Raw genomic sequence first — 21812 nt, 5'->3', positions numbered from 1 at the left:
CCCAAGCTTTCCTGATAAGGATCACCTGGCTTGCTTGTTAAAATACAGATTATTGGGGCTAGGAATCTGTTTCCTTAACAAGCGTTCCAAGCCATTCCTGTCTTCAGGCAAGTTTGGGAAACATTCTGTCTACTGTACCAAAAATAGCCTGTGGAAGAGGAGTGCTTTTAAGCAAGTTTAGTTTTGCACATAGTACATGAATAGGTTCTCCTTGTTTGAAAATGTTTTAACATTGCAGAGAAGGTCTCTTTTGACTTCCCCTAAGCACCCCATTCCAAGTCCTTCCCTCCTTCCCAAAGAGGGGTCAGTTTGGAGTGTGCATCTCCCAGACCCTTTCTTTAACTTAATAGAGATACAGGTTTCTGTTTTGTTTTTCATTAAGTAGGTATGATGTTGTAGTTATCATTCTACAGCTTGCTTGCTTTCCATTCAGAGCTATGTCATGGAGTGCTGTGCCAGCTCACACAGAGCAACTGCTTTTTTTAAATTTTTTTTTTCAGCCTGCTGCATAATGTTACATCGTATGGAACTAGCACAGTTTATTTAGCGATTCCTCTATTGATGGATGCAGTAGTTTCGGGTGGTTTCTCATGATTACTTCAGGCAGCATCCTTCCCATGGACCCTTATGCACATTTGGGAATAAATACTGAGAAGTAAAATTGCTGGGTCAAACTTGGCGCATTTGGGGATTTTAATGGATTCTGCCCAAAGTTACCCTTGTAAGTGTCTCCACCCAAGTGCATTTCCACTGAAAGCATGTGGAGAGGACCCAATTCTGCTCACAAGTGCAGCTGTCCCACAAAAGCAACTAAAACTCTGACCAGTCCATAGGGAAGTGTGGCCAAGGGGCAACACCCACCTTCCTCTAGTCCTTTCCTTTGGGATGAACAGCTGCAGACTACTTCCTATCACAAAGTGAAGTTTCTAAGATAAAAACACAGGGGCCCCAGCAGTGTGCGTTCCAGAGAGGAGGCATGGAGAGGCCATCCCCAGGCCACTGCTGGTTTGCTAGGTGACTGACAACGCCCTGCAGTGGGCCCTGTGGAAAACAAGGGGAGGTCAGAGCAGGTCTCCAGGAGGACAAACCTGTGGAAGCCCTGTAGGGGCTTTGGGCTGACCTGGGGTCTGTAGTTTTGTCTGAAAGCAAGAAAGGTGCTTGCCTGGGGTTTAGCACTCATCCCAAGAGGCCGAGCAAACAAAAGATGACGTGGCTCACTGACTAAGCAGCCGCACTCTACAGCCTTTTTTTCTGCTACTGCTCAGCTCTGCCTCTGTGGCTGCCAGGTCTCTGCCAATCTGAGACTAAAAGGAAAGCTTCTTGTGGACCCAGGTGGCCTGGCCTGCAGAGGAGTCCCGGCTGGCTCCCTTTTGGTTGAATTGTTCAATTAGATATACAGGAGTTGTCCACTAACTGGGAAGTTTTAAAGCAAAGCAAAAGCAATCCCGTCAGAAATCCAATCTCACATCTGGAGAAAACTCATTCTCTTTCTTTTAGCTCAAAAAAGCAGCACGCTTCACACAAACCTTCTGCATGGCCATCTGGACTGGCGGTGAGCCCCAGGCAGCTTGGACAGTGGTCACACTGCCCAGTCCTGATGGCTGGGGCCCATGGTACTTCACAGGGCACTCTGGTTGACTGCCTGCTCAACTCTCCTAACACCTGGTTGAATTTTTATTCCCAAAACTAGGACATCATTTTGCAAAAGATCAGACAGTTCAGTGTAGTGTTTGCAAAGTTTCAGGTTGCTCAAACCTCAAATTTCTTTCCCTCCACCAACCTCACTTTGAAGTTCAAAAGCAAATTGATTAAATATACATTTTAGGAACTTTCCAATTTGCTTCTTAAACTAACAGAATTCTAGACTTTTTTTTTTTTTTCAATGGAAGGATTTTCAACTGTCAGCAGGTATAACTGGAACCATATGTCAGCAGAGACCAGGGGCTTTTCCTGGTTTTAGGATTTGTACATTCTTACTGAAACGGAAGTAAGTGGAGCAGGCAGCCGCAGCTCCATGACAGCCTGAGCTCAGATCTCATTTTAATTAGAAAATATAGGTAGCACTTGCTGAATCACAGTCCTTCCAGAACTCCTGTCCCAGGGCAAACAAAGATTTGGTTTATATCCTGCAAACCTCTGTGTTTGCAAATTACAGAGCACTTCTGAGAGCTGGAATGGCGATTTCTAGATTACTATGGAGACTGCAACCCAACTGCCTCTCCCACCCCGCCAGCAAATCCCCCCAAATGATTTTGTTTTCCAGGGGAGACATTTTTTCCCTTCCTTATTGCAAAATAGATGGAGCATGTTCATGTTGAAGAGAGACAGTGAGGAAATCTGGGACAAGAGAAATAAGATTAGATGTCATCCACAGCAGCAACTCATTTTCTCCATTTGGATGTCTGGCCCCTTGAACTCTGAGACACAAAACCCTGCACCTGACCAGCATCTGAACTGTTCCGTTTGACAGCAGTTTATGTGTATAATTTTCTCCCTAATGTATTCTGCAAATGGTAGAGTAGAAATAGCAAATGAAAGACATTGCAAGGCCTAGCTCTCTCCCACCCCTTCTTTCCCTGGCCTGGTGTCATTTGAGCTCAGTGAGTCTCAAGAAAGGCTGCCATTACAATGTCAGCATCTGGAAGCCACCCCTACTGGGTCCCCACTGGGACTCAGAGCCTGAGCCACAGCCACGGAGAAAGTGGTGGAGTAGCGGCAGCGGGAGCCATAGATGCTCCAGTGCTGGGCACTCTGGGCTTCGGTCTTCACTGATGAGCTTCTCTTGTTTGGGGAGCAGTGACCGCTGTGTGCTAAACCTCCCGTTGGCCTCCAGCCACTTGCCAGGGACAGAGCTGCCGCCTGCTGTCCCTTTCCGGGCATCACATTCCTGGCAGCTGGCGGTCACTTGCTCACCCTGCCAGGACGGCTGCCACAAGCTGCCATTTACCAGGCAGACAAAGGGGGATTTTCCCTTCCCCTGAGTTTGCAGGCCCCTCAAATGCCTTACATTCCAGGAGCTGAGAGAACAGGCTCCTGTGGTTTCTAATTAAACCCACAATTTAAATAACAATTCATGTAACCCCAAGGGTTGAGAGGAACGCTAACCTGCCCCCTCCCAAGAGAAGCAGCCGGGTGGCACTGGCTGAGGAGCTGAGGGCTTGGTCTTTGCCAGAAATGTGACCAAAAAGGGCAAGAGGGAAGTCCCAGGACAAGTTTATGATGAAGCGGGGCTAAGCAGGAGGGGCGTGGATTCGGTGGGTTCTGTGCCTCTCCTAAAGGTTAGGAAGTAAAAAGAGGGAGGAACACTTGCCATGTTTAATTGGAGCCTGCAATCGAGAATTTTTACTCTTCTCCAGGGAAAACGTGGAACGGTGGTCTCTGAAGTGTTAGAATCCCAGATACTCAGGTTCTCATGGGAGTGCCCCCCACCCCCAGGTGACTCACTCTTTGTCTGTGAGTTGGAGAATTTTTCTCTGGGGAGAAGAGGCAGGGGCTGTGTTCTGGACTACAGACAAGTGGGGAGCTCAGGCAGGGCCCTGGGAGGCAGAAGATCTGGCCAAGCCTCTGCTCACACTGGACCTCAGTTTACCCATGTGTTGTCGAGGGGTCTTTGGGTTTGTTGCTTTCAGGTCCTTACTGGCCCTGGCTGTCTGTCGATCCTTGAGCTGCTTTTGTGTTTTTATTTGGTCTGTCTGGGGCCACAGTGATCTTTGTATGTAGTTGATCTCACCAAATTGTTGTCTGATGACCCAAGGCGTGGTTATGTTCCAGGTCTGGGGAAATGGAACGCCGAGCTAATTATCTCTAGACAAACTCTTCTGTGCCTCAGCCAGCACCAGGAGCATGTCAGCATTTCTAGGCTTTCTGTGATCTCGTTTCCAACTTTTCCTCCACTTCCATTCCATTAAACCGAGCAACTCACATTCCCTGAGGATGCCCTCCAGGTTCTCGCCTCCATGCTTAGTGTGCATTGTTACCTTCACCAGATGCCCTTCTGTTCTCACCTCACTGTGCCTGGAGCCAGCCAGGCATGCACGAGCTCAGAGGGCTCTTCATCGCAGTGGAGCCCTGCCAGTATGGGTCCCATTCGTTACCCCTGTGAGATGTGGAGCTCCCTGAGTCCGGGCGCCGGCTTTAGTTCCTGCCTCCCCTGCCTCTCCTTGCTCATCTAGCTGAGGCCCAAAGCCTAGCTGTGAAGAGATGTGAAACAAAAAAGCCAAAGGTGGACTCACACCTGCCATCTTCCTCCCTGCAGGTGACCATAGCCGATGACTACTCAGATCCCTTTGATGCCAAGAATGATCTCAAGAGCAAAGCAGGAAAGGGGGAGAGTGCTGGCTACATGGAGCCCTATGAGGCACAGAGGATCATGACAGGTAAGTGGAGCTGAAGCGCAGGGGCTCACAGCTGGGGTTGTAGGGGTAGAAAGGGAGTGAGGGCACTGCCGGGTGGTCCCCAACCAGCCTCACTGGGGGCATGGTGTGTGCTTTCAAGTTGGTAGGTGGGAGCAATGCTGTATTAAGTCTTCCCCACAGTTTACCTGCTTATGTTTCACCTATATTAGGAAAAAAACTGGCCGGGCACCATGAGAGTCCAAATACAAGGATATCACGTGCAGTTAACCAAAGGTAGGGGCCAAGAAGTAAGTGGGGAGAGGAGGGAGAAAAAGTAGTTCTATCAGAAATTTCTGAGTGAAGAAAGATAGCATTTGAGACATAAAACTTTACTTAGAGCTTCGTAGTAGGCAGGGCAAAAAGGGAAGCAGGCTGGGTCACCTGGCTTTCGTTGCTTAGTAGAAGAGAGCTGGCCAGATTACTAGTAGAGACAAAATTATTTCTGGCCGCATCCCGAGAAATCTTTGTTTTGGAGCTGGAAGCAGCATAAATAACCCTGGTCTACATGACAGGTTTACAGGAAGCATGGAGACATTCCCCCAGTGGCTGTTTTCCTGTTGGCCCTTGATGACAAAACCTTGTCAAAGCAATTGTGTGGAGTCAAGAAGAATGTGGCTGGGTATGCAGCATCCTGGGGGCCTATTTTAGCCAGGATAATACAAGACTTGGAGCATCTTTAAGAAGTGAAGGGTTAGCAGACATCAGTCATCTTGTAGGCAGGATTAGGGGGAGGTCACAAGCAAAAGGGAAACCCCTGTTGTGGCTTCTCCTGGTTCAAGAGGGCAGGCCAGACACTGAAGAGCAGCTGTGTAGGCTGCCCCTGTGACCCCACACAGGCAGTGCCATGGGCAGGGGCACATCAGCACATTGTGCTGCAGGGTGCAGGAGAGTGGCTGGGAGCAAGTTTGGGGCTGCCTGGGCTTTGGAGGCCTATCAAATTGGTACCCTGTGTATCTGGACACTTGGGATACAGATACCTCTTTCTGTGGCCCTCTTATTGTTTGTCTGGTTTTTGTTTGGTTTTTTGCATTCCTGTCTTTGAGCACCTTCTCCTGATTCCTTCTTGAATTAGGAGAAAGAAGGGAGAGGAAGCGGCATTTACTGAGCACTGAGCGTGTGCCGGGTCCATGTCCAGCGTCAGCTTATAGGGCTGTGTAGCCGTGCAGGTTGATTGTTGAAGGATCTGGGTGCACCTTCTAGGCTCTGCCTTTGCTGTTCTCTGCCTCCTGCTCCTCCTGTTCATGGAAGGAGATTCTCTGACCACCAGTGTGGCCTCCAGAACACTTAGCCACTTCGTGAGGGCCAGGGCAGAGAGCAGTGGACCAGAGGGACTTAGGTCCAGACTTCTGGAGCATCCCTCTCATGCCCACTCCCATCTTTCTAATCTCCTCTGGCAAAGCAGCCTCAGTGGGCAACAAGAGGCCAAGAGTTGAGCTTGTGTTTGGATCTGGGGTCCTGAGGGAAGGCAGCCTGCTGTCCTCCAGTGGCTCAGGGAAGCAGGCTGGCTGGGGGAGTCCTCACCACAGATGTGATGCATGCCTGGGCCCTGCGACAACCACAGCCAGTGCATGCCCTCACCTCCATCAGGCTTGGTGAGACACCAGCTCTGTGGAAGCCCCAGGACCAGCTCCAGCCCTTGGGCTGTGGCCTGCGGCCTGCACCTCCCTACAGCTCTGTCAGTCTTGCATTCAGCAGGCGTTGGCTCCGGTTTAAAGGAGCAGTGGTTACAGGAGCGACTTTGGGTCATGTTCAGAATGTCAGGGTGGGGAGGGATCATTGAGGTCATCTAAACCTAACAGCCTCATTTTACAGATTGGGAAACTGAGGTTGGGGCGGGGGGGACAGAGACTTGCTTGAGGACGCACAGTGAATTGATGGCAGAGTACAAAGTATGGCCTGCGCTTTGCAAACTTTGGGGTGGGGTACTGAAGGAAGTGTAGTGTTTGCATCAGATGCTGGGGCACCTAGACATGAGGAAATGGCAGGAGCCCCTGCCAGGGACCAGACTCCATGCTGGGCACTTTGACATATACCCTCATTAAGCCTCATTATGTTTCTTCATCATGAGGCTGAGGGAAACTGAGAGGTTCGGCTCCTTTCCTGGAGTCGCACCAATAGAAGTAAGTGGCTTGCCCTGAGTGCAGAACATGGGACAGGGGCTGAGGTCCCATGGAGCCACAGGCAGGATGTTGTTACAGGAGTCCACACTCGGGAATGGAAGGGGGATGGGAGAGGGCATCTGCTGGGAGCCCCAGTCTCATGGAGGGTTTGCCCCTGCCTGGTGCCTTAGGAATGGAGCCGGAGTTCCCTACTGGGTGCTGCTGAAGACCTCAAAGGTGAGTAGTTGTTCACCTGGCTAGAAATTACCTGAGGAACTTCGGCTTTTTTTGAGACAGGGTCTTCCTCTGTTGCCCAGGCTGGAGTACAGTGGCATAATCTTGGCTCACTGCAACCTTCGCCTCCCAGGCTCAAGCAGTCCTCCTGCCTCAGCCTCCTGAGTAGTTGAGACCATAGGCACGTGCCACCGTGCCAGGCTAATTTTCTTGTAGTTTTAGTAGAGACGGGGTCTCACTGTGTCATCTAGGCTGGTCTGGACTGAAGCAATCCTCCCACCATGGCCTCCTAAAGTGCTAGGATTGCAGGCATGAGCCACTGCACCGACTTTGCCTTTTAAATGAGGGTACACCCCATGGGGTTAGGTCCAAGGCAGGGCAATTTGATTGAGGCAGTTTGATTTAGAACCTCTTAAAGACCTCATGCATTCTCTCTCCAAAGAAGCATTCTAGCATATGCTGCTCTGTGTTTGCATCCTAGCTTGGCAGCTGTGCCCTAGTTTACCCACAATTCTTATTTTTAAGAATATAGGTTATTAAAAGGGGTGTTTTCTGTTTGTAACGATCCTTGCTGAAGCTCCCTTTGACTCAAAATTATTTGTGTGTAATTCTTTGTGGCGTCACCCCAGTGATTGATGGCAGGGCTGCATATGGGTAGGATGAGCCATCAGTGCGTAGATGCTCCAGGAGGCTTGCAGAGCTGACGTGAAGCTTTTCGAAGGGGAGATGGTGGGGGAAGAGAGAGTGGTGCTGGTGATGGCAGTGGAGTGGGAGTGACATGGAAAAAGTTTAACCTTTTAGAATGATCCTTTTTGGATGATATTACATTTTATGTGTATGTGAGCGTGTAACTTGTAGTTACAGGGCATCATCTTGAATAAGTAAGCATAACGCTGACAAGAAGGCTGTGCCCTCCGTGTGCCGCAGGTGGCGTACCTGTACAGGAGGAGCGTGGGCTGGAGTCAAGCAGATATGGGATGGTCACTTGCCACCTGAATGACCCAGGGACCTCGGTTTTCCCCTGCAAAGCAGTAGCCTCAGAGCAGGCAGTCATTAGTGCTTCTAGCCGCTTTGGGCTGCTAACTGGCTGTGCGACGATGGGCAGCACGTTGTATGCCCCCATATTTACTTACATATGGAATGAGGGGCCGGTGATAACAACAACGGGGAGGCAGCTGGTAAGCTCTCTAGTACTTGCTTACAGCACTTGATGTCAGTTCTTAACTGGGTCCTCACCATTACCCTTTGGAGTATAGGCTGCCCACTTGACTAATGGAGAAACCAAGGCACAGAGAGGTTAAAAAACTAGCCCAAGACGTCCCAGCTGGTAAGTCAGTTGTGGGGCTGACTTCCTAGCCTGTTTGAACCATCATGTGGAGCATTCTTTCCAGGGCCTCTCCAGCCTTGGTGCACTGTAGTTTGGTTTTCAGATTCCCCAGCATAGCCGTCTTGGGCAGTGATTCACTGACGAGGCTTTGTCCTCTGTGTCCCTTGGCTCCATGCAGCAGGTGGTGGGGAGATTGGCCCAGCCCTGTGGACTACAGCTAGGATGGAAGGCGTGAGGAAGTGTGCCTGTTTCTCCCAGGGGCTCCTCTCACCCCTGCCCTCTAAATGCCTCAGCTTATCCTCTCCACAGGCTCCAGTTTGTGTCACCGGCAGGAGGTATGTTCTGCTTCCAAGATGGATGCTCAGCCCTTCACAAACCTCCGAGCCCAATTGTCTGGGCCTCACTTGCCATCCCCATCGCCTCTCTCACCCCAGCAGCATCTCTGGGGGTGTCTCCTTAAACCCTACAGCTCTATGGAACCTAGTTGGAGAACTAGTGACCTGGTCCAAGCTTTCTTTTTTATAGATAGGGAAACTGAGGCTCAAAGAAGTTATAATCCTTTTGAGATTTTTTTTAAAACCCACTGATTAAATGTGAAGCTGTCTTGTAAACCAGTGAACTGCCTATCCCCAGAGGTATCAGAGCAGAGGCAAGACAGCCAGCATTGGGCAGTGACATGAAAGGGAGTTGAGTCTCAGATGGGTGGCTGGCTCAAGCGACTTCTGAGGTCTGCATTAACCCTGAGCTCCCAGGATGCCATGTTTCACTGTGATCTGCGTTTTAAGCAGAGTGACTCACTAGTCACCCAGGACCAGCCCCACAAAGACAGCACCTGAGACCAACTGAATAGGAGGGATCTGGGTAGGGCTGGCAGCTTCCTTTCTCAGTGCTGGCCTGGCTAATTGTTCAGTCCTATTTCCCCTTTTCATCTTCCTTGACTCGTCTCTCAAGATCAAATTCTGGTCTTGGCCTTTTCTATGCCCTGCTGCCCATCTGGGCCTCAGTTTCCTTGTGTACAATTTAAAGAGAAAGTACCAGAGCGTTTCTGGGTTCCCTTCATGCCCCATCATCTCTGTATTTGGAATCCCCAGGCCAAGCCTCCTGTTGAGGCAGTGATCAGGCAGCTAGCTTCACAGCCCCTTCTTTCCCTCTTCCCCAGGTCTTGATCCCAGGCTTAAGGTCCCCGGATGCATGAAATCCTGCTGATGCAGCAGGAAGGGCGCTGGACACTGATCAGGCTGACTTGGGTGCCTGGATAGGTCAGGGTGCCTAGCCCACTGAGAGCCGTGGTGTCATGGTAAAATAGGGCCTGTGATCCTGATGCCCATGTGGAAAACAAACTTTGCACATGTGCATAAGATTGTTGTTATTAGAGGACAGAGGGCCTGTTTGTCCTTCCTGTGGAATGCTGTGCTGTTGAATTCTCTAGTTATTCCCTGTAGGATCACCTACCCACCTGGAAGTAGGTTGCACCCTTGCCAGTGCTGGAGCAGGTGGTCCCTGGGCCCTCTGCAGTGCGCTCGGTCATTGCAGGGGCTCCAGGCCGGGCTGTGTTGGAGACTACACCAAATAACCTGGGCAGATACCGCCACTGCCCTCCAGGAACATCCACAGAGCAGATAGGCATGGACCTGGAGTGGTCAGTGGTGGGTGCACTGAGATGAGCATGTGGCTCTCCAGGAGTTCAGAGGAGGGAACAAGGGCTTCCAATTTGGGTGATCCAAGTAGAGTGGGTTGTGGGAGGTGGCGGTGATGAGAACTGAGTCAGGCATCCCAGGCCGAGGGAAAAGCTTGAGAAAAGCATAGAGGTGGGCCCTTGTTGCTAGAGAGGAGTGGCTGGAGATGAGGCTTTTGATGGGATAATGATAGGAAAATCTCATGGGGCAAGAGCATGTAGAGACTGACTGGGATCTGGAAGCCCAAGTTAACCTAAAGGCACAGCGTGTTTTTGTGCCTGAGATCGTCTCTTCACTGGCCTTCAGCCCTAGGAATTCTCAGAGGTAACCAAGGAGTTATGGTGGCATGGATGACAGTCATTAGCTTTTGCAAAGGGCTTCCCTGTGTGCCAGGCACTGCTCCAAGTACTTTCCAGAGATTAGCTCACTTAATCCTCGCCTATGAGGTATAGGGATGTTCATCATCCCCATTTTACAGAGGAGAATACTGAGCCTCAGATTAAATAAGCAGCAGAAACAGAACCAAGATGCACCTTCTGGAGCCCTCGCTTACAACTAAAACACTCTCTCATCTGTCCTGTGTTCCCCAGAGTCTGAGGAATAATTGGAAAATTTAGTTACTTAGGCCGCCTTTTTAGATGTTACTAACCCTTCCTCTGGCATCCTTTATAAAACTGTTCAAAGTGTCATCTCACAGGATGAATCTTTAAGCATTAATTGAAAGCATTTTCACATAATTTTTAATATGTAAGCAATTACACATTAAAAAGTCCTTAGCATGTTTTTATTATTAAATCAACTTTATAGCCTAATAAGAGGAAATTAAAGTCATTTCACACAGAGCCCCCCTGCTTTGACGTGGCTGTTTTCCTTGCTTACAACTGGCCTTCTGCCCTTTTTAACTGTGTGCTAGTAGGCACCGTCCAGATGAAGCCAGTCACTGATTTTAAAGGCAAGAGGGGATTTTTTTTGTATTTTCTCATCCTCTGGTGTGGCCTCTTCTAGTGGCAACATGCTCTCTGGGAGAATCATGGGGTTTATCATGTTAAAGACGATGTTCCAATTGTGGCCTCTGTGTTTCAGGAGAAAGGAGGCAGGAAGTACAGGTTCTAGCCTTGGCTCTGCCCCTGGCTCTGCCCTTGGGCAGGTTGCTTCTCTTCTCTGGGCTTCAGTTCCCTCATCTCTAAAATCAGATTCTGCCTCCTTCACTGGGTGTCAAGAGGATTCTTAGAGGTCATGGGTCTGGAGTGACTTCATAAATCCTTTGGTTACCCGCCTCTGCGGTCACACTGGGCTTCTCCAGCTGCCCTTGTCAGGCCTGGTTCTAACAGTCCTGAGGGTCCTGCCCCACCCCCAGCCACCTCCATGTGGCATCAGCCTCAGCCCCTCCCAAAAGCATGCATGCTGCTGTCTCTGCTCTCAGGACAGACAGGACACCATTCTGGACAGCCAGCTCTAGAGGCCCTTCCTAGGGCTCCTGTTCTCTCATTCTGGAATGAACTCTCCCGGAGACCGGCAAATGCTTCTCAGAAAAAGGAGCCTGTGAGTCTTGCTTGGGTGTCAGAGAAGCTGCCTCTGGCCACCCTGCCTGAGACTTCAGCCTTCCTCTCATATTTGCCGTCAGCCCTGACCCCTGGTTCCAGGCAGCACTGTTCCCCTGAGCTGGGAAAGCAAAGGGCCTTCTGTCTGGGTCCTGAGTCCAGGCCATTCCCAGCCCCAGCTCTGTAGTGCCGTGGACTCTGCTCCCAGGATGTCCACACACTTGCCTCCCTGCACAGCTCTGCTCCCCAAAGCCTGTACCCTGAGCCCCCTCACTTCCTTCTGTCCTGCTGCCTCTCACCCTCTCCAGGCCTCAAGCTCCTCCCTGGCCTGCCCTCCCCACCAAGACACCACAGGCTTCAGCCTGTCCTGGTGGTCACAGCTCTCCCCCAGCTGGATCATGGCAGGATGGAACTGTCCTTGAGGAGCAGTGCTTCTGGCCCCATATAGGCTTCCTGCCCGAGGCCCAGAGAGGGTTGTGCACTAGCCAAGTTTACACAGCAGCAAGCCACAGGGCAAGTCTCCTGACTTCCATCCTGGAGCTCCTGGGCCTTATTTTGAAATGTTGTGAAATCTGTTGTCAATCCTCCTGCCTGGCAGGTAGCAGGCTTGGTCGTAGACTGTGCAGAGTTCCCTGGCTGGTCTGTCATTTGCCAGAATGACTTACCTACCGGACAGGAAGGAGATCATCAAGTGTAAATAGATTTCATATTAGTCACCTGATGACTTTCCTATTCTTAAGAAACAGCAGGGCTCACACACCCAGCCCAGTGGTGCTCACCCGCAGAGCTGTGGGCGGGGAGAGAAGTGGGAAGCCTGGGTTTCCATGGCGACCAGCGGGCCCACTCTAGGAGCCACTTCCTATTCTCTCACCCCGGCTCCCCTCTTGTCTTTGACCCCTGACACTGAGCACGTTCAGGTTTTCAGGAAAGTTGCAGCAGGCCTGGAATAGGCCAAGGAGAGCAGACAGTCATTGATAGCACCCCCGCTGTGGGCTGAGGGTCCTTGCCCTCCAGGTGCTCCTGTCACATGGGGAAGGTGGACAGGGGCCCAGAGAACACTTGATGTCTGTAGTATAAAACAAACTAAGAAAAATTACACTGGAGAGAGAAATCTGGTCTTGGAGAACACAGAAGAAGGAGTGGTACAGCCTCTGGGACCAAAGTGTGCTGCACAAAGAGGGCAGCATCCCAGCAAAGCCAAGCTTGAGGTCCTGACTCAAAATGACCTCCTCAGGGAGGCCTTCTGGCCACTTATCTTACATTTCCACCCCTCCCCCACCTCTCTGATGTTGTTCCTTAACACTTGTCATTATTTAGCATATTACATACTTTTTTTACATTTCCCTTGTTTGTTGTCTGTCTCACTGCTGAGATGTGGCCTTCACAAGGGCAGAGATATAGGTTTTGTTCCCTGTTAGAACCTGAAGTACCTGGTACAAAGTAGGTTGTCAGTAAACACTGGTTGAATGAATGAGTGCATTAATTCACTCCTGGGACCTGGGCTGGTCCACAGAGTCCTGGGTGCCCCTCAGGAGCCCAGGGACCTCCTATCCTCCTCCAAAGAATGCCAGATCTGGAAAGTCTGAGTTTAGCCACTTGCTAGGTGGGCAGGGAGGCTGCCTTGGCGTCAGGGTGGGAGTTGGGTGGGCGTTCTGACCAGTTCTGTCTCCGCAGCCGGCGGACTGCATAGGGATAGCTGATTCTGCCTCTTTTCCTTCCCTCTCTGGGCCGAGAGCTCCGTGAAGGAAGGGACTGGTCCTCACCCATCTTCATTTCTCTTCTGGGCCCAGTAAATATTCACCGATTGCATGAATGAGTATAGGAATGCAAGTCTGTATGGAGAAGAAAGAAAAGGAAACAAACAAATACTCACTATAAGCAGCCTCTCCCATTCTGCTGTGACTTGCTTGCTTGAAGTCACAGGGCCTGGGTCAGGGGAAAAATGCAGTGCATTCATTCATTGACTGGGTGGCTATTTGTGAGCACCTGCCATGTGCTGGCACCGTTCTATGCTCCCGGGTCTATGCATGAACAAAACAAAGTTGTTCTCATGGAGTTAACAGTTGAGTGAGGGACCAAGGTGGCAGTAGCCTACCCATGATTCCCCGAAACTCATTTACTAGATGCTGTGGCTCCGGGTTATCAAGGGCTGGAATTCAGGGGCTTTCTCAAAGTCAGGAGCTGAGTGGAGACTTGTCCCCAGGGCCAGGGCCACCTTCAGTAGGAAGGATGGTCTCAGTGCTGTCTTCTGGGGATAAGGGGGACAGCTGTGGCCCAGTGGCTGGCAGGTGTGTTCCTCTGTCCTTGGCCCCAGTAGAGGAGCACGGGCCCTGAGGGTTGCCATTGGTTTTCCCCGTGCTGCTGGCACTAAGCCTCATAGATGTGAGGGCCCAACAAACAGATTGCAGTCCTGCTGAGCGTTTGTCAGCGAGGGCTCAGGCCCCTCGGAACACATCCCTAACTCCTTGTCTTTCCTGGCAGCTGTGAGAGAAACGTGCATTTTACCCAAGGTAGAAATACAGGAATAGGAATGTGAAATGGAGGAGTTCACCTCCCCAGGCCTGCCTCAGCCTTGCATTTCAGAATCCCAGAGAGACATTAAAAGATCTGAAAGTGCAGAAACTGATGGAGATACCTGTCCTGAAATAGGCTCAGGGAGACTCAGATTAATCTGCAGCAAAGCTCCTGCATCCTGTACCCGCCCAGCTCCCTGCGTGCTGGGCAGGGTGTGGAAACCTTGCGGAAACCCACACTGCAGGGGTGTGGCACGATTAGGAAGTCATTTAGGAAAACAGGCCCGCCTGGGAGTGTGGGATGGAATCTTGCAGCGCCTAGCAAGAGGCAGGGAGACAGGTTCTATGGTTCCGAGGCTATAGCAATCATCTAGGCCAGGTCAGGTGCTGTGGAGTCAGGGTAGGTGTGGTGGAAGGGCCCACCAGCCAGTGGGTGCTGTGTGGAAGGGAGAGGAGAGGGTGGGATGACACCACCAGTGGGGTCCTCTGTTAGTGGGAGGATGGGAAAGTCAGTCACCTGATGGGGCCTGTCCTATCTGAGTAGGGAAGGGAGGTTCCTGGGGAGGAGTCAGAGTTGAGATGTGGTCACCTTTGAGGTGGGAGCAGCCAGCTAGGTGCTTGGGAGAGATTGAATGCATTCATGTGTTAGGGAAGGTGCTGGAGTCAGATCAGAGGAGGGCCCCAAACTATTCCAGGGACCTGGGGGCCACCATGAGAAGTCCTGGCCTGTGTTTCTGGTCTGGGGAGAGGAGTAGTATGCAGGGAGTGGCCAAGGAGACAGCCGGCCACAGTTCCTGCCTTTCAGAAGCCTGAAGGAGGAGATTCCGTGATTTGCCCCACACCCTATTATTTGACTAATTAATTAGTACTCTCCTCTAAGTAGGGCTCAGGCTGGCTTTCTGGAAACTTACAGAGATGACAGCAGTCTGTGTTTAAAGGGTACCTTTTATATATGATACCAGGACTCTCCCTAAGGCTCCGAGAGGAAGCAGATGAGATGATTTCCATTTTGCAGATGAGAAAGCTGAGTCCTGGTGGCTGACAGGACTTCTGGCCCCTTCTCCCTACAGGGATCACTGCCTGGTGATGCAAGGGAGGGATGCTGAGTAACAGCAGGTCTGAGTCCTCCCTTGGTGGCGGCAATGTAGCCGGTGCCTCAGGTTCAGTGCTCTTCCCCATCTCCTGGAGAGTCCTGCCTTCTCCCTTTCAGCCAGCTTGGCCCGTTTGCGTTCCTGTGGTTAGTGAGGGCTGGCTGTGGTCCTTTTCCAAAACAGGCAGCTGAGCAGAAGGAAATAAAATGCCACCTCTTCACTCTCCCTTTCAGGGTATAGGCGTGTAATTGTACCTGGCCACCTTAAAGCACCGAAAGAGGGGCCGTCTCCCAAGCCCAAGCCTCAACTTTTGGGCCTCTCTTTTCCTACTGCCCACGTCACCCCATTCTGTCCATATGCCGTCACAGCCCTCACCATGTCCACTGTGATGTATCTGCTAGACTGGGAACCCCTGGAGGGCAGGATGACAGGACAGGCCGGGGCCAGGGTGTCTTGTGCTCAGACTGTCGGTGCCCTGTGTTTGAGGTTTTGGCCTGGAACTTTCTGGTGAAGAATGTCCCCTCATCCAGAACTTGCTGGTTTTGGTGGAATGATGTGTGCACATGGTGAGTAAACATCCCCCACAAATCTCTCAGCTCCCAGAACTGGGTCTCATGCCTGCTGGGCCGGCTCACCTCTGCCCTGGCCAATGGGGCAGTGTGTATCCTGTCCCTGGCACCTCAGCTGATCTCTCACTTGCTGGCCTGTGGCCGTGTTCCTTCCCATCTGCTAAGCCTCGAGTCTCTGCGTGGACGCTGGCACATGCACTCATGTGCCCGTGCCCCCAGCCACACAGCCCTCCGTGAAGCTACCCTCTCTGGCAACTCCTCACCAGGTCGGGGGCCTTCCAAGTCTTCATGCTGCCCTAGTGGGCCTCTCTTGGCCCCTGGGTCCCCCTTCCCCACCCTCTGCCCCTCAGGCTGGGTTCTGGAGTCCTCAACTTCCTGAAGTGAATGGCCTTCATCATGCCTGCCTTCAGCTCTAGCCTCTTGCTGCCCAGTTCAGAACACCTCTGGCCTGGTCCCCCCACCTTTGCCAGCACAGCCCTGGGAGGGTGGGCTGGGGGGCGCCCACCTCCTCAGCAGATCTTTATTCACTCAGCTCCACCGCGGCCCTTCCCTTCCGAGTCCCACGCAGCCCCCAGCAGCTCAGGTTCACCTTCCCCAGAAGCCTCTGCATGCTTCAGGCTCCCGATCTGCTGCTTTCCCCAGGTGCCTGTGGCTCAAGGCAGAACCAGGCCAGCTGGCATTCAGTTTTCTGCTCAGGTGGTGTTTACTGAAGCCCTGTGCTCTCATGCCCTTCACAGCATCTCTCCTAAGCCTCCCTAAGGCCCAGGGAGGGAGCGCCTGGGTTGTTTCCATTTTCCAGTAAGAAACCTGGAGCAGAGGCTTCCGCAACAGCTGGGGGCCTGGGAGCACCTCCAGGAACCTGGGAGTTGTGTTCCAAAGCCCAGGCAGGAGCAGGGCAGGCAGTCAATGGGCCGGATGGACCCTGGGCTGAGGGAAGCACATGGGCCTGAGATAGATCCCCCGGGCCAGCTCCTGCCCTCCCCAGTAACAGAAGCAGAGGCCTGGAGCCAGGAGGCCCCCAGCAACAGCCTCACCACCCCACACAATTGGGAACCAGCCGGTGGGCGACAGCATCCTCCCTTCCTTGACCTCTTCTAGGATTTGCTTCCATTTCTGTGCTGTGTCCTTTACCTTACGGAGAACTGTTTCTGCTGAGTGAGTCTTTACTGGGGGAAGGGTTAGTGCTGAGCCACTGAGTGGCCTGCTCCAGTGGGCACTGAGGGACATAGTACAGTTGGGACAGTGTCAGAGCTATGTAAGATAGAGGAGGGGCAGCCCGGCCCCATGCTCCTGTCCTCCCCTTCAGGGTGAAGCTCTGGAGGGTCTTCGTGGAGAATCCATGGAAGCCCTGCTGTTCTGGGCACTGCAACGAGCACAGGGGCTGGGAGGTGGAGCCCACCTTGGCCCTCCCCTCAGGAGGGCTGTCCACTGGGATGTGGCTTATGACTGCTGTCATGTGTGGGTGTAGAACCCTGCCCTCGTGGGACGGGGAGCCGCGGGGAGGATGTGGCCCATTCTGCTTGGTTAGGGGTGGATGTTGGTTAGGACTGGGTGGGAAGGGTGGTGGAAGCGGTTGCAGCGAGGGGCATGGCCTAGCCCCAGGGTTCAAGGGTGGAGTTGGAAGGAAGTAGAGGCCTCAGCCTAGGACAGAACCCAAGGAGGTCCTGTGTTTAGCTGAAGGGGACTCAGAATTGTGAAAAGCACCCACCTGGGGCAGGTCCCTATGCCTTTGGCTCGCCCATCCCTGCCCCCTTCTCACTCTCATCCCCAGCACAGCCCAGGCTGCCATGCAAAGTGAGCTGTCCTCCAGCTGATCCTCAGAGGAAACTAGACAATATTTTTAATTATTGTCTAATTTACACCCAGAAATTAGGAGGAAGGGCTTGGTCCTTATTAATAGCCCAGCCTGTTTACCCCTAGACTTGAAACTAATTTTCATCTGGACCAAGATTTGTTGTAAATTCCCAAGGCTCCGTACTAATAAAAAGTTTCTGGCTGCCTTTTGGGCCCCAGCCCTATGCCCTGGGTCTGGCTCCCAAATTTGCAGAAATGTGTGATTTCTTGGGGTGAGACAGGGTGGATCTTAAAACTCACGGTCTCCACCCCAGGGAACTTGATGCAGGGTCCTGGAGTCTGCAGGATCTAGTACTGCAGTTAAAATTCACAGTCTGGTTTTAGCTCACTTTTTAACTGAACTGTATGTGATGCTGTTGGAAAAGCTTGAACTTGGGCATTAGAACCTTTCCCCTCTCTGGAAATCTTCTTTCACAGAGAGAGAATTTTAGAGCCAAGCTAGGTTGGGGGACTAGACAGATGGTGGTGGGGCTAGGGTGAGGAGGGTGTGGGAGGAGGGTTCTCACAACTGTCCCCTGAATGGTGGCCTGAGCTGAAGTCCTAGCCCAGGGCCCCTTCCAGTCACTAGGATGCCTTCTTATGTGTTTCACGTGGTTCGGTAGTGCTCTTTCAAAGCAAGGCCTCCTGCCCTGCCTTCCCCTGTAGGAACCCTGTCCAGGTCGGTCAGGGTTCCTGTCCTCTAGGTCCTCTGCAGGGAGTGATGGCTTTTCCACCTCTCTGTTTAAGCATTTAGGAGGAAAACTTCTTTGTTTCAGGACACGTATGGCTTTGTAGAAATTTCTAATTAATATTGTCAGATTGTTGGCATTTCTCTAATTTCTTCCAAGACTGTGGCCTTCAGTTATATGTGTGGGGTTATTGCTATCACCATTTATATTTATTTCTCCTTTTGCTGACTACTCACATCTCATTTCATCCTCAGAACAACCCTGGAGGCAGTCCTTGCTATCCTTTTTTTAAGATAGACAAACTGGAAAACCAGAGAATCGAAGTGACCCACCCAGGGTCAGCCAGCTGTAGTGCCAGGGCTTGAGCTAGGGTCTCTTTGCTATATCACATCAGTCCCTGTCCCCTTCCCCTCCCTTCCATTAAAAAGAGTCTGTGCTCAGAGCCAGGTCCTGTGAGGTGGGATCAGGGTGGATGAAAGTCACTCACCACCACTCGTGCTCTCTGGAGCTCATGGGGAGGATGCAGATGGCCTTTTCTCTTCTCTCCTGTTCATCTCCTTTGGGCTGTTATCTACAGAGGTCTCAGCGGGTAAGTGTGGGTGAACTGCCAAGCGCTCAAGTCATTGTTCTAACTCCATGGTAGACGCTGGGAGAGAACCTTTCTGCCAGCAAGGATGTGGCCTCCAAGGGAACTAACCCTAACCCTCTGTGGCCAGCCAGTCTCCTCCCACTCTAAGAGGCTGCTTGTGCCTCAGTGTCCCTGGCACCTGGTCTCACCATGCAGCGAGGCAGGACCGCAGAAGACCTAACTTGGAGAGTATCGAACCCAACCCGCCTGGACATGGCTTCCAGGTCAAAGCGTCCAAAGGGCTTGGCCTGGAGAAGCCATCCTTGTCTGAAGGACAGAACTGGCCAGGCTCTCCCCAGCCCACAAAGAGCCTTGCATGTCTTCCCATTCAGGGTGAGGAAAGGCATAATTGTGTCTGGACAGAGCCCTGGGTTTGACACTAGCCATGGAGCTGTAATTATCGTCCTTAATTACACGATGGTGCCTTTGCCAGGAAGGTGTGCTTGACGATTATCTCCTCTCCTGACAAGGGTGGTTCCGTCTCCCTTTGTAAGTACTGATGTAAACACACAGGCTCACTTGAGATTTCAGGATTACCAAAGAGCCATTCAGAGTTGCCTACCTAAGGACCCCTGCCTTTCAGAGGAGAAAGGGGCAAGCCAGGTATCAGCCATGCAAGTGCTTTCTTGCCTGCTGCTGAAAAAGAATGTCCATTTACCTCTGAGTTGACTTGGTCTCTGAAACCGAAAAAAAGAATTAACTTTTCCCTGATGCTTAAAATAAAGAAAAAAGGAAGAGCAAAAAGCCATGTAACAGTGCCCCATGCGTTTACATACCAAGCACATCCCTGCTGATTGGATTCTCACACCACCCTGGCGAGACAGGCAGGACACGTGGTGCTATCTCCATTGTATAGATGGTGAGATGAGGTCTCAGAGAGGCTAAGGGACTTTCCCGAAGTCACATAGGAAACCAGGACTAAAGCACTCTGCCAGCACCCTGACTAAAAGCCAGGCTTTGGCACCTGCAGGGCAGTATTTTGGTTCATTTTGTGAGATCCCTCAACCCCAACTGGCTCTGGGGCTCCTATGTGGCAAGTAAAGCCTCTCAGCCTTGAGGGGCTTCCGAGGGCCAAATGCCATGCACTTTATAGGACTGAATTGAGGAGCAGCCCCCAAAGACTTTGGAGGCCAAATCACACTGCATTTCCCAATGGACTGTACAGGTTAGCCCAGCGTTGCAGACAGAATCAGCCCACCCGGCCTCGGAACAGCGCCACCTGGGAATCAGCACACAGTGCAGAGGATGGGAGGCTCAGGAGAATGCCCCCGCCCCCTGGCTCTGCTCACCACATTGGGTCAAGGTGAAGGGCAGGCTGCCCTGAAGATCCATGAGTGCAGGGCCTTCCAGGGTCAGTTGGTACCATGGTCAACATGGGGAAACAAGGGCAAGGTCGTGGGCAGTGGTGAAAATGCGGATTCCTAGGCCCCATCCTGTAGAGGCCCTCACTGAAGCCCGAGAACTTGCACTGTAATACATGGCTCCATGGCTCTGGGACAGATGGTCCCATGGTTAGAGAGTCCCTGCTTTAGCAAAGAGCTTAGGCCTGGGGTCTCCTTCAGTTGTTCAAGCTGTGGTCTGGCCTGGCCTGGTCTGCCAGCAGCAGCAATTCTCGCTGACTTCTCGCTCCCTCTCTTTTCTCTCTCCACTGCCTGTGGGAGGGATGGACATCCGTTCTGTTGTCTCCTTGAAGCTACCTGTGCAAGTCCTGAGGACCCAGCCCTGGGCCTGTGGAAAGGAATGGAAACCACCCACTCAGGTGTGGTGCCCCAGCCTCGTGGCTCTTCTTGTCAGCCTTCACAAAGCTGTGATTCATACTGGAATCTTGTAAATCTCTGAATGGCCAAATAGAACAGGGCTGGGGGTAGAGGGCATGGGGTGACTAGTGGAGAGAGTCATGAGCTGGAGGCTGCAGGAGTGAATTGCAGCTCCTCCGACAGCCGGTTTGAGCTTGGACAAGGCATGCCTCAGTTTCTCCATCTCTGAAGTCAAGGCTTCAGCCAGATCCTAAGGTGACTTTAGTGCTAACCTGTCCTGGTAGTGGTGGCAGTCACACAAAGACACGCTGGATGCACACAGGGACACAATCTCCCAGAACACAGAAGCCTCCCACGTGCTGCTGGTGGTTGGGCTGCTGCCTCGGCTGCCTTTGTTTGTCCCCAGTCTCTGTCAGACCTCCACTCAGTATGCGGCGCTTGGTGTCTGCAGCTTCCACTCAGCACTCCAGAAACCTGTTTGTGAGCTCAAGTCACACTAGCCTCCCTAGGGGATATCTTTCCACAGAAGCCTACTTTCGAATTGGGCCTAATTGTAGCATATATACCTTTAAATAATTTTTTTTAGTGTATTTGAAACAGCTGTCATTTTGCATGTGCATCAGCTGAATAAAGTGGAGCAGCCATTTGAGCTCCTGGTCACCCCGAGTCTGCAGCAGGCTTCCTTCACCCCTTGCAGGAGAGAGACCTCAGGGAGGAGAGAAGCTAGGAGGTTTGAGAACAGAGTGAGATCAGCTCGCCTGCTAGTCTCAGCCTTTCACAGATCCCTCCTCACTGTCCCCTGATGAGTTTCCCAGGCCTGGCTAGATCATGTTACTTTCCTGCTCAGAGATCTCCACTGGGTTCCTCAGATCTGAGCCCAGACTTTCCAGGCCTTCCTCAAATCCCACACCCTATAGGGTTCCCAGGGTCCAGCAGCACCCCATCACCCACTTGCTTTCCTGTGTAAACGCTCACTGTCCTCCTCACTGAGGGGCTCCCCAGGGCTCTGTGATCCCGCAGGGACTTCCTCCCTCTTGTTCTGCCTTGCTCTTGAGTTCCTCCAGCAGCCTGGGCAGGGCCTGAGTGACTCACAGTGGGTTCCCCAGAGCCTAGCACAGAGCTTGGCTCTTGGGAAGAGCTGGTTGAAACTGGATGAAAAATGGGCCTTTCCTCTGCTTCCATCTCATCCTTGCCTTTGAAGTCAGTTTAATGGCTGCAAACATATTAATCATTTGGATTTCCTGTTTGTCCCTGAAAAATAAGCATTCAAAATAGGATTTCGAGGACAGGCAGGGCAGCTCACACCTGTAATCCTAGCACTTTGGGAGGCCGAGGAGGGTGCATAGCTTGAGCTCAAGAGTTTGAGGCTAACCTAGGCAACATGGTGAAACCCCGTCTCTACTAAAAATTCAAAAATTAGCTGGGCGTGGTGGCGTGTGCCTGTAGTCTCAGCTATTCGGG

General features: G+C 51.9%; 1 protein-coding gene across 1 annotated transcript in view, besides 8 other annotated features; it reads left to right on the top strand.

The window, feature by feature from the left end:
- The window catches only part of SHB (SH2 domain containing adaptor protein B), a 153330-nt gene that overhangs the window by 48841 nt on the left and 82677 nt on the right, over nucleotides 1–21812 (top strand). Inside the window, exon 2 of the mRNA NM_003028.3 lies at nucleotides 4256–4376. Coding sequence (NP_003019.2) covers nucleotides 4256–4376 — 121 coding nt within the window. The remainder of the gene's footprint in view (nucleotides 1–4255; nucleotides 4377–21812) is intronic.
- Nucleotides 1081–1375: an enhancer, noted in NCBI's record as "tiled region #2787; HepG2 Activating DNase matched - State 5:Enh, and K562 Activating DNase unmatched - State 5:Enh". NCBI's record gives its function as "activates a minimal TATA promoter and a strong SV40 promoter by Sharpr-MPRA in HepG2 and K562 cells {active_cell/tissue: HepG2 | K562}" and the evidence as "EXISTENCE:reporter gene assay evidence [ECO:0000049][PMID:27701403]".
- Nucleotides 2738–3501: an enhancer, noted in NCBI's record as "OCT4-NANOG-H3K27ac-H3K4me1 hESC enhancer chr9:38016883-38017646 (GRCh37/hg19 assembly coordinates)". NCBI's record gives its function as "activates a minimal SCP1, AML or CMV promoter by ChIP-STARR-seq in primed H9 embryonic stem cells {active_cell/tissue: H9 hESC(primed)}" and the evidence as "EXISTENCE:reporter gene assay evidence [ECO:0000049][PMID:30033119]".
- Nucleotides 2761–3055: a silencer, noted in NCBI's record as "tiled region #8282; K562 Repressive non-DNase unmatched - State 7:EnhWF". NCBI's record gives its function as "represses a minimal TATA promoter and a strong SV40 promoter by Sharpr-MPRA in K562 cells {active_cell/tissue: K562}" and the evidence as "EXISTENCE:reporter gene assay evidence [ECO:0000049][PMID:27701403]".
- Nucleotides 8726–8785: a silencer, noted in NCBI's record as "silent region_19915". NCBI's record gives its function as "represses an Ori minimal core promoter by ATAC-STARR-seq in GM12878 lymphoblastoid cells {active_cell/tissue: GM12878}" and the evidence as "EXISTENCE:reporter gene assay evidence [ECO:0000049][PMID:35858748]".
- Nucleotides 9660–10292: an enhancer, noted in NCBI's record as "H3K27ac-H3K4me1 hESC enhancer chr9:38010092-38010724 (GRCh37/hg19 assembly coordinates)". NCBI's record gives its function as "activates a minimal SCP1, AML or CMV promoter by ChIP-STARR-seq in primed H9 embryonic stem cells {active_cell/tissue: H9 hESC(primed)}" and the evidence as "EXISTENCE:reporter gene assay evidence [ECO:0000049][PMID:30033119]".
- Nucleotides 10859–11800: an enhancer, noted in NCBI's record as "H3K27ac-H3K4me1 hESC enhancer chr9:38008584-38009525 (GRCh37/hg19 assembly coordinates)". NCBI's record gives its function as "activates a minimal SCP1, AML or CMV promoter by ChIP-STARR-seq in naive H9 embryonic stem cells {active_cell/tissue: H9 hESC(naive)}" and the evidence as "EXISTENCE:reporter gene assay evidence [ECO:0000049][PMID:30033119]".
- Nucleotides 11921–12215: a silencer, noted in NCBI's record as "tiled region #5136; HepG2 Repressive DNase unmatched - State 5:Enh". NCBI's record gives its function as "represses a minimal TATA promoter and a strong SV40 promoter by Sharpr-MPRA in HepG2 cells {active_cell/tissue: HepG2}" and the evidence as "EXISTENCE:reporter gene assay evidence [ECO:0000049][PMID:27701403]".
- Nucleotides 16968–17037: an enhancer, noted in NCBI's record as "active region_28408". NCBI's record gives its function as "activates an Ori minimal core promoter by ATAC-STARR-seq in GM12878 lymphoblastoid cells {active_cell/tissue: GM12878}" and the evidence as "EXISTENCE:reporter gene assay evidence [ECO:0000049][PMID:35858748]".

This window comes from Homo sapiens, chromosome 9 (assembly GCF_000001405.40).
Source record: "Homo sapiens chromosome 9, GRCh38.p14 Primary Assembly".
NCBI lineage: Eukaryota > Metazoa > Chordata > Mammalia > Primates > Hominidae > Homo > Homo sapiens.
This window is presented reverse-complemented; position numbering and strand designations above follow the sequence as displayed.